The 10611-nt window shown below is 49.0% G+C and overlaps 1 protein-coding gene across 2 annotated transcripts in view, besides 2 other annotated features; it reads right to left on the bottom strand.

Annotated features, from left to right (window-relative positions):
• Positions 1–229: 229 nt before the first annotated feature.
• The window catches only part of STYXL2 (serine/threonine/tyrosine interacting like 2), a 35091-nt gene continuing 24709 nt past the window's right edge, over positions 230–10611 (bottom strand). For both annotated transcript variants that reach the window (NM_001080426.3, XM_011510146.3), the window contains 2 exons: positions 9929–10146; positions 230–3608 (listed from right to left, as the gene is read on the bottom strand). In NM_001080426.3, the coding sequence (NP_001073895.1) occupies positions 787–3608; positions 9929–10146 (3040 nt within the window). In that variant the 3' untranslated portion in view covers positions 230–786. The remainder of the gene's footprint in view (positions 3609–9928; positions 10147–10611) is intronic.
• Positions 3087–3717: an enhancer, noted in NCBI's record as "H3K4me1 hESC enhancer chr1:167094915-167095545 (GRCh37/hg19 assembly coordinates)". NCBI's record gives its function as "activates a minimal SCP1, AML or CMV promoter by ChIP-STARR-seq in naive H9 embryonic stem cells {active_cell/tissue: H9 hESC(naive)}" and the evidence as "EXISTENCE:reporter gene assay evidence [ECO:0000049][PMID:30033119]".
• Positions 7243–7813: an enhancer, noted in NCBI's record as "H3K27ac-H3K4me1 hESC enhancer chr1:167090819-167091389 (GRCh37/hg19 assembly coordinates)". NCBI's record gives its function as "activates a minimal SCP1, AML or CMV promoter by ChIP-STARR-seq in primed H9 embryonic stem cells {active_cell/tissue: H9 hESC(primed)}" and the evidence as "EXISTENCE:reporter gene assay evidence [ECO:0000049][PMID:30033119]".

Genomic DNA, 10611 nt, shown 5'->3' with positions numbered 1-10611 from the left:
TTCTCACCACAATAAAACTCATTCTCTCTTTCTCTAGTTCCCTTTGTTACTCTCAAGGGTTTTCCAAGTGTAATCTCCTGCTGTATTGTATCATAGGCCAAATACTTGTTTGTTATTTTTTATAATGAGACTATGATGGCATTGTCTGGAGGCACAGCTTTTGTGAAACAAGGTGAGACTGGCTCAGGATAATACATTTGTGTCTTTTAAAGTGGTTTTCTTCTAATATCCAAAAAGTTAAACATGACCAGAATAAAGAAGAACTATTTGCCAACATACCATTTTTAATGGAGACTCAAAACATTAAAAAAAAAAAAATCAGAACTGAGCATTGCCAGGAGAGGTCAGACTTGCCATAGGATAGACTTTCTGGGTCTCATATGAAGCCTCTACAGACAGAAGCGTGTCCTATGTTCATGGCCTTTCTGGATGTAAACTGGAGTCTCTGACAAACTACAGTGCTTTTCCAAGCTCACCTCTCTAGCCTGTGATGAACACTGCCAAATACATTAAGTGAAACACCAAAGCTTAGAGGGCGCTGAGCAACAGAAAATGGTATCAGTTGGTCCGCATTCGGACCTCGTATTCGTATTGATGGTTCTCCCCCTCCTTGCCTCCTCCCTACTCCACCTCTGCTGCCCTTATGCTTGGTACCTCTCATTTTGGCTCTGCCCCTCTGGAAGATCCTCTCTGTATCCTCATCCTGCGATGAGTGGTGGCAACGTGTGCCCTGAGCCCTATGCTAACGTGAGTGGTTTCTTTCAGTGTTCTCAGATTTTCCCCAGCTCAGTCCTCCCTCCTTTTCTGCAGCTTGGTCCTGGTTTCTTCTTGCCGGCGTCTCCAAGCAGCAATGATGGCTTCATCGTCCATTTCTTCCTCTTCCTCCCTGTCAGTGCTTCTCCGATACTGGGACCGCCGTCCAGATGCAAACCTCCCTTCTTCTCTGTTTTCTGTCCTCTCTTTCTCTCCCTCTTCTTCAGACCTCATAAAGCTCTGGGTGAACTTCCTCTTGGCTCCAAATTCAGAGAAGTCTGACTTGGATGACTCTTCCACATCTTCCCAGTCCCTGGACCTGGCCCAATTTGGGCGCTGTGGTTCTGGGGACTCTTCCCTTTCTGAGGACTCTGGGGTCCGGCGGAAGAAGTAGGGCTCTGGGCTCTCCTCTCGGGAACTTGAGGTCTCGTTGTACGTGGACCTGGAGAACTTGTGCATCTCTCTGCCCTCCCTGGTGGAGGAAGATGAGAACCGTGAAGTGCTTCTTACAGAGTTGCCATTTGCCTCGTGGTAGGAGGAGGTGTCCTGTTCCTCTGACTGGGATTTGGAAAACTTGTAACTGGAGGATTTAGACTCTGTCTCCCTGAGCAGGGACGATCTGGTGTACTTCCCTCTGGAACTTCCAGACCAGTCACTTTGGAAAGGAGGTTTTTCCTCCGTCCTGAGGCCACTGAGCCACTTATTAATACTGCTATCCATCTCTTTGCCAACTCTGCTGCCACTTGCATAGTGATCACAGACAGCCAGGGAGGAGCATGTGTCTGTTTCAGGTTTCTGGGAATTACTGCGGGAAGAATATCGGAAGCTCCCTATGGCACTGTCAGTGTCCTCATCCCCATCACCCACACCATCATCCTCATCTTCCTTGACCTTCTTCTTCTTGAAGAGGGAGCTGCGTTTGTTGTCTGAGGCCAGCTTTTCCATTTTGTACTCAGACATCTTCTCCCTAAGCTCCATCTGCATCTCCTTCTCCTTCCGGCCAAGTTCCTTTAGGTCCACATTGTCAGCAAAGAGGCTGAAGATGGGCTTGCTGGTCCCCCTCACTTTGCTTCTGCAACTTTCCGCGGGTGAGCTCAGTGTGGTGTTGCAGGACAGCACAGACTGCATGTCAGAGCTGGGTCTTGCCTGGCTCTGAGGCAACAGGCAGCCACCCAAGGAGGAGCTGCTGTGTCCACTAAGCATGGAGACTTGGTCATCCCCCAGGCAGCTAGCCGCTGGTACTGCCTTCATGCTTGCAACAGACGGTGAGCGGGACAACAGCAGCATTTCATTTTGCTTCTGAGCAAGGGTCTCACTGACTACATTGGCAATCCAGTTCTGGATACTGGCAATGGAAATGGTGTCTCCAGGCCCCACTGGCAGGTTAGGCAGGGGTGTGGTGGGGTTGGAGGTTGAACACCCCGCTATGTTGCTTGCAGCCTGAGACAGGTGGGAGCGGTGGCTCTGGGTGCTCAGTACTGACGTCGTGTCCCCATCAGCGCTGACTGAGGGGTCTGCAGACCAGAACGCAGACAGGGGAATGCTCCCGCTGGCCGTGGAGCTGTCCGCCTCCCAGCTTGCCATAGACTGGCTCTCCTCCAGCGTCTGCCGGCTTCTCTCCAGCAGCTCCAGCCTCCGTTGTCTCTTCTTAGCCAAGGCCGAGTCCTCCCCCTTGCTGAGCTCCACCACCTCCTCCTTGTTCTCACTGCCCACCTTCTTCTGGTGTTTCAGCTTCCAGGCCTGGTAGGCTGTCAGGCTGACGTCGGAGGGGTTCTTCTCCCCTACTGCCTCCTCTGCACCGGGCTCACCGCTGCTGTCTCCCGCTCCCAAGTCTTTCTTGTGAAATCCAAATTGGATTCTCTTGATCTTCCATCTTTCCAGGGCAGTGAGCTTGTCCTTGTTCCTGCTGCAGAAGTTGTAGAAGGAACTGGCCTCAGAGCCCACGCTGTCCTCATCATCCTCCCGCACCCTGCTCCCTGCTTCTGAGCTCCTGTCTGCCGCCTCCTCTCTCTTGCTCTTGGCGTGGTACCTCCGGGAAGCCTCCTTCTCAATCTCCAGCAGCCTCTCGTTCCATGCGTCCCAGGTGCTCTCCGAGGACATCGAGTCTGCGCGGCGCCTCCTGCCGTGGTCCGGGCGGTTCAGCTCCAGCTGCTGCTTCAGGACCCAGATGTCGTGGCTGCTCACGCTCTCCCAGGCGCTGCTCTCGCTCAGGGTGCGCCGCCGCCTCCCCACCGAGGAGCCAGCGTCGCTCTCCTCCTCCTTCTCCTCCTCCCTTCCCCACCTCCGGTACCCTTCTGCTTGGTACCTCTCGTTTCGGCTCTGCCACTCCTGGATGATCCTCTCCACGTCCTCGTCCTCGAGCTCCTCCCCACCCTGGCCAGAGGAGGCTGAGCGCCAGCCACCTCCATCCTGGGGGACCTTGTCTGAGAGGAGGCCCTGCCCCTTCTTCCACTGCTCGTACAGTTTCTCCTCCTCCTCCTCGTCTATGAGGGTGAGGGGCTTGGAGGCCTGGGTGGCCTTCCCCAGGGAGGAGCCACTCAGGTGGCTGGCGCTGTCGTCCTCCTCTTCCACCGTCAGGGCGTGCACTCTGGCCCCGAGCATGCTCCCAGTGCCCTCGCCCTCCTCAGCCTCAGCTGATCCCCCCTCCCGGCCATAGTCCTCTTCTCTCTCCTCCATCAACTTCTCATTGAGCTCCCGCAGCTGCTTCAGGAAGCCCTCATTGGGGTAGATGGCCCGCTTCTTACGCACGGTCATCAAAGCCTCCAGGATGGCCATGTTGTGGAAGATCATCAGGTAGGCGACCACCAGCACTGCTGACCGGCTGATGCCCATTTCGCTGCTGACCAGGACTTTCCCTGAAATGAAAACACAAGAGAAAATGATGTAATGACAGTGGCTTCCTTGTAGTGTTCTTGTTTGTTTGTTTTCTTTGGTAAGTGCTGTTTTAATATGCTGCACTTAAGGTGTTTACTTTGCCTCTGAAGTTCATCCGGGCTCAAGACACAGGAGGGCTGAGCATCACTGACCCCATATTACAGATGGGAGACATCACAATCCCCACTGGCCCTGTATTTGAAACACTGGAGTGCATTTCTACTTTCTCCTCACAAACCGAGCAACAGAGGGAGGAGAAATACAAGAACAGGGGGAAGGGTGATAAAGCAGAAAAGGAATGAGAAGCTAAGATAAATGAATCACAGAGAAATAGAATCTTGGTGTTGGGAAGCATCATAAGTCACATCCTAAACTTGAGAATTCCCTTTACAACATCCCTGATGCTGGATCACCTGTCACACCTGTTATCCAGCCACTGCTGAATGCTTCCAGTGACAGGGAGCTCATTAGCTCACATGGACACATAGACACAATTCACTCCATTTTTGGATCACTCTAGTGCTTCAAAATTTTTTTCATATGTTAGGGAAAAGTATAAATTTCTGTAACAAGCATCCAGTACTCCTGCTCTGACATTATAAAGTCAACTATGGATACATTGTATGAAACAGGGCTTTTATACAAAAATCCTTAACAAGATTGCTATCATATTCTTCCCGAAATATATATATTTTTCTTTTCCTGGCTATTTTGAGTCCTTCAAACATTATTTGAACATCTTCTCATGTTCCCTTACTATTCTAGCTACTTTCCTCTAGGTCAAAACTTGAATTTATCAGGGTTTTTTTTTTTTTTTTTTTAGGAGTTTGTACTCAGGATGGAGCAAGATATTTCAGGTTTGGACTGACTCACTCACATAGAGTAGAATGGGCCCTTCCCCACCCTTGTTTGGGTCACTGGGGCTTTACTGATACCATATAAACTTGCAATATGGGAGGATATGTCACACAATGAACTCAAGTTATCTTTTACATCCGTCAACTGAAACCTGTAAAACGTTTTTTAAAAACTGCAATTAAGTCGTGTTCCTTTTAATGTGCAGTCATTTTTAAACTTAAGGATAATTTCACAAATTCCTACTAACATCTTTTGGTGGATGTCTGTTTTTATAGCCTACAGGAGCTTTTGCGAGTCTTGACTCTACCATTCAACAGATCAGTTACCTGCTCCTGGCCTCCTTTTCGGCTTTGCATCCTTCATGAATGTGACAAATATGCCTCCTATGCCTTCATTGTAATAGCTGTTTAAAATGCAGACTGGGACCACTGGAGACCTTCCTCCCTGCTCTCATCAATCTACTTGCCAACAGTCTTTGGGGATGTTTGCTAATTCAGTTAAAAATCCTCTCTAACAATATGAGATGGGAGGTGACTCTTTCAGTATTATATCTTTGCAGCAGTTAAGGTCATGTCTTGGTCACACAGGAGGTCAGAGACAGAAAATTCAGGGGACTTGAGGCCCAGTAATGATGAAAGGTGTTATTGCCAAGAGCCAGCAGCCACTAGAGGGAGGTAAATCAGCAGAGTCAAAGCCACAGGCCAGGGTGTGGTGGCTCATACCTGTAATCCCAGCACTTTGGGAGGACAAGTTAGAGGATCGCTTGAGGCCAGGAGTTTGAGACCGGCCTGGCAACATAGCGAAACCTCGTCTCTAAAAAAAACAAAAACAAAAAACCATGGCAAGCGCCTGTAGTCTCAGCTACTTGGGAGGCTGAGGTGGGAGGATCACTTGAGCCCAGGAGGTTGAGGCTGCAGTGAGTGGTGATTGTCCCATTGCATTCCAGCTCAGGCAACAGAATGAGACCCTGTCTCAAAAATAAACAAACAAGGGTGTGGTGGCTTACATCTGTAATCCCAGCACTTTGGGAGGCCGAGGTGGGTGGATCACTTGAGGCCAGGAATTCAAGACCAGCCTGGCCAACATGGCAAAACCCTGTCTCTACTAAAAATACAAAAATTAGCTGGGCGTGGTGGAGAGCACCTGTAATTCCAGCTATTCGGGAGGCTGAGGCAGGAGAATCACTTAAACCCAGGAGGCAAAGGCTACAGTGAGCTGAGATCATACCAGTGCACTCCAACCTGGGCAACAGAGTGAGATTCTGTTTCTTAAAAAAGAAAAAGAAAAACAAGTAAAAGCCTTATAAGGAGCATCTATAGAAGCACTTGTCTTTTTTCTCCTCTCGTCCTCAGTCAGGGCTTAGCTGTCCCTTACAAGGACCTCCCCTCCACCCTCTGACCAGGCTACCATATACTGTGGCTAGTCTCTAAGTCTCACTGGTTTTCTTTGGAGGTGGAATCACGAGACCAACTCACTTCAGGACACTTCAGGACATGACCAGCCAGTCTTCTTCATAGGAGCATCAAATACTACTTAGACTCAGTCTGGCGGAGACCAGGTTGGGGTGCCACATTTTTCCTGCTGTGTTCCTAGCACACTGGGACTCCTCTGAGGAGCCTAAAGGGCAGCCAGAGGGACAAGAGAGAGGCTGGGTGGGTGAGACTCAGGGATGTTTACCCACTTCATCCAAAGCAGCAACAGGATTTTCTGTCTTCTCTGTTAGAGGCAGGCTGATGCTGTATAGATTCTTCTCTGCACAACTCTAGGGGGCCTCTTCACATCAAAATCAAAATATCAAAATACACTTGGGTTATGGTGAAAATTTTTCCAACAGTAAAATGGTTTGAGGAAGGTAGTGTTTTTCTAATTAGCAGAGTTACCATTTTGATTACCAGCAGGGCTGATTGTGAAGAGGGTCCCTGTTTTTAAAATTTGGAAAGTACAGGCTGGGTGCAGTGGCTCACACCTGTAATCTCAGTACCCTGGGAGGCCGAGGTGGTGGATCACTTGAGATCAGGAGTTTGAGACTGGCCTGGCCAACATGGTAAAACCTTGTCAATACTGAAAATACAAAAATTAGCTGAGCAGTAGTGGTGCGTGCCTGGAATTGCAGCTACTCAGGAGGCTGAGGCCTGAGAATCGCTTGAATCTGGGAGGCGGAGGTAGTGAGCTGAGGTCACATTACTGCATTCCATCCTGGGTGACAGAGTGAGACTCTGTCTCAAAAAAAGGACCTTCAAAAAAAAATTTTTTTTTTAAGAGTACAGCTACTGGGGAGAGCATCAGATTTGAGCAAGCCTGGATTTGAATTCTCTACACTCTCAGTATGTCTTTATATGGCAGGCAATTGTGCTATACCCTCCCAATTCATAATTCCCCCTTTCTTCAGAAGGTATCCCCCTCCACACCTGTATTTGCCCAGAAGCCACCCCACTTGCCACTGCTGATGGAACTCAGGGTACACAAAAAGACCAGTATCTGACAAATTCGCCAGGAAATTTGGAAATGGGACTGAGGCAGGAAATTAGCTAGTTTAATGTCAGGCCTGTGGATGGCCATTTGCTATCTGAAGTAGAGAGAGAAAGAAGAGGGAAACCAAGAGTCCTGAGATCGTCCAGTCCTTGTTCCAGGCCTGCCCGGCGTGCCAGGCTCCTGTCTTTGGCTTCTTTCCTGCATCTTCAGAATTAATGCCTTTGCTGCTTGTGAAGGAGTTTGAGATGGTTTCCACCCACTAGCAACCAAGAGAGTCTTGATTATTACACCGTGCACCATACAAAGTCACCACTTAATCTTCCATAGGTCTCAACTTCCCAGTGTGTACAATGTAAATAACAACACCCCCTCATAGGCTCTTTGTGATTATCATGTAAAACGCCGGCGCCAGGTGTTTCTTTCCCTGTTCTGGTCAAGAACTGACTCCCAAGTCTCCTAAAGCAGAGAAAACCACAGGACCTAAGGCTCAGGGAGTAATTCTAGGGATGCCACGAACTCTCTGTAGTGGAGTAGGAAGGACCCACAAAAGCAACAAGCACAGCAACAATAAGGGCCTTTCGCTGCCTGGCAGGGAGAGTGAGGCTGAATCGGGAGGAGATGCCCGCAGGGCGCACTGGACCCTGCAAGGGATCTGGACACTCAGCGCTCCGACCTACGGTCTCCGGCCGGGGTAGCTGACGCGCTGGCTCCTGGCCAGCATGACCCAGCCCGCCTTGGGTATGCTGCAGGGAAGGCAGCGCCTGGGTTACACCCGCGACAGGAAACTTCCTGCTGAGCCCTCGCGGCTCCTGGCACCGACTCCGCCTCCGCGTTTGGGCTCGTTCTTCCTCCCTCCACCCTCCAAGGCTGGCTATCGCTTCTGGGATGCGTTCCACATTCTGGGATCTGCCTCATCCGCCCTGGGATGCTGCGGGGGACCGCCGGCTCGTGGCCGTGTCCACACGCCTGGAGCTATTGCGAGCGTACCCGCTCCGCCTCGAGGTCTGCCGGTGCGCTCCAGGACCTGCGAGCGAGGTGGGACACACTCCTTACGCCGCAGGCGACCGACAGACCCATTCAATCCCACGTTGGTCAAACGTCCTACATTTTAAAAAGAAGGAGTTTTTTGGCCGGTCGCGGTGGCTTATTGTAATTCCAGCACTTTTGGAGGCCGAGGCGGGCGGATCACCTGAGGTTAGGAGTTCGAGACCACTCTGGCCAATATGGCGAAATCCCCTCTCTACTAAAAATACAAAAATTAGCTGGGCGTGGTAGTGGGAGTCTGTAATCCCAGCTACTCGGGACGCTGAGGCAGAAGAATCGCTTGAACCCAGGAGACAGAGGTTGCAGTGAGCCGTAGATGGCACCATTGCACTCTAGACTGGGCGACAAGAGCGAGACTCCGCCTAAAAAAAAAAAAGGAGTTTTTAAGCATTGAAAAAAGGAGAAAACTGAAAACTGTATATATATGTGAGTGTGTGTATGTGTGTATATATGTATATGTGTATACATGTCTGTATATATACACATACATACCTCTCTCTCTCTCTGTATATATATATATATATATATATATATATATATATATATATATATATATATATATATGTAATTTACACGCACACATACATATACATATTTAAAATATGTGTATTTGGCCAGGCATGGTGGTTCACGCCTGTAATCTCAGCACTTTGGGAGGCCGAGGTGGGAGGATCGCTTGAGCCCAGGAGGTCAAGGCTATAGTGAGCACTCCAGCAGCCTGGGCAACAGAGCTGCATCCTGTCTCTAAAAATAAAAAGTAAAAATAATTAAAAAAAAGAAAATATGTGTGCTTGTATTTTCCCTTAGAAGTTACCCAACCTGGCCATTGGTGGTGACAGGCAATGCCCTTTCCAGGAAATCATTAACAATATTATTATAGCAATGGCTATAATTTTTAAAGCATTTATTGTGCCAGGTGTTGTCCCAAGGGAGTTATTTTATATGCATTTTTAAAACGTTATTCCTCACAGCAACTTTAGGATTTGATATTTTTGTCTTTGTTCTCTGCAGTTCCTAGGGCTAAAGGAAATGGCCCAAGGTCACATTGTATATACAGTGTAGCAAATCCTGGACTCAAACCCAGGTTTCTGGACACCATATCCTCAACTCTTCCCAGCCAGGCTGTCGGCCCCATTGCCTGGGCTCCACCTCTCCTCCCTGAGGCCTGTGACCTCTGCAGACTAGTCTCATGTCACCTTTCACTTGGATATAGCAATAGCAACCCCAAAGCACTACTCTCTACCTTCCCAACTCGGTCTGTTCTCCAAGGTGGAGGGAGGGAGTTTTCCAAAACATAAATCAGATCAAGGTGCCGCTCCAACTTCTTACCCTGGCTTTTAGCTTCCTGTTTGATGGGGAACCTCTGCCACTTCAACCTTCATCCACCATGCTCATCGACACTGGCCTTTGATTCCTGAACACACCAAGCTTTCCACCTTTGGATCTTTGCACTACTAGTTCTCTTCTGCAGGAATGCTCTTCTTCCAGTTCTCCCATGGCTAGCCCTTTGTCACTTGGCTTAAATGTCCCATTGTCAGAAGGCCTCCTCCCCCATGCTCTCCAAGGAGCTAGTCAGTCACTCTAGCACATTGTTCTAGTTAGTCTCTGCCTCACACTTATCACCATCTGACATTTTTTTCTCTTTTTTTCATTTTCTGTCCCCTCTTACAGTGTAACAGTCAAAGGCTGGAAGCGTTGCCTGTGTCTTTCACCACAGTGCCTAGAATAGTAGTTGGCACTTGCTAGGCACTCAGTAATTACTTACTGGATGAATGATTATCCTGTCTTTTCTCCTTTTCTTAGAGAAAACAGCCTTCTTAAGACAGATACCCCTCACACACGCCAACTAATCAGGTTTTCATAACATTCCCCACATTACTTTTCCCCCGTGGAATTCCAGCAGCCTGGAGCGGCAGATCCCTCTCACCTCTGTAAGTCAGCAGCGCCTCATCCAGGAACTCAGACGCCTTCCGGAAATGCTGGGAAATGTCCACCTCAGGAAAGTCATCCACCTCTACACCCAGGTACTGGATCTCCAGGCCAGTGTAGAATTCGGGGCCAGTGTAAACGCCGGTGCCATGCGCAGCATTCAGAATGTGGGTGATTCCCAGCCTCTTCAGCCTCCCCTTGTTCACAGCCACACTCCTGCGGGAAGAGGCAGGGACCTGTTTGCAAGAGTCGGAACTAGAAAGGTGTGTCACCACTGTGACGGTGAGCCTGCCTCAGCCAGTCTAGGGCCACAGCTGGGCAAGTGCCTCCTTTTCTGCCCCTGGTTGTCTGGGGATCACTGCAAATACCATTATAGAAAGAGTTGATGACTTGGCCTCAGCAAAAGGGAGAAAAGACATGCAGTTAGGCAAGGAAGGGCGAGATGAAGAGGCCAACAAAATGATGTGTAAGGAAACATTTGAATGATCCAGAGACTTCTAGTTTAAAACCCCATGCCTTGGGAATGGACATTCATCAAGGCACAAAAGTGGTAGGCACAAATAATAAAATTAAGTGTATTCCACATTAATATGGCATGCTATAATTGTCAAAATCCTTTCACATGCATTATTTTATGTTATCCTAACAATAAACTTAAGAAGTAGACAGGAACTCTAGTTT

This window comes from Homo sapiens, chromosome 1 (genome assembly GCF_000001405.40).
Source record: "Homo sapiens chromosome 1, GRCh38.p14 Primary Assembly".
NCBI classification, from domain to species: domain Eukaryota; kingdom Metazoa; phylum Chordata; class Mammalia; order Primates; family Hominidae; genus Homo; species Homo sapiens.
The sequence above is the reverse complement of the archived record's forward strand: the minus strand, read 5'-3'. Positions and strand labels throughout refer to the sequence as shown.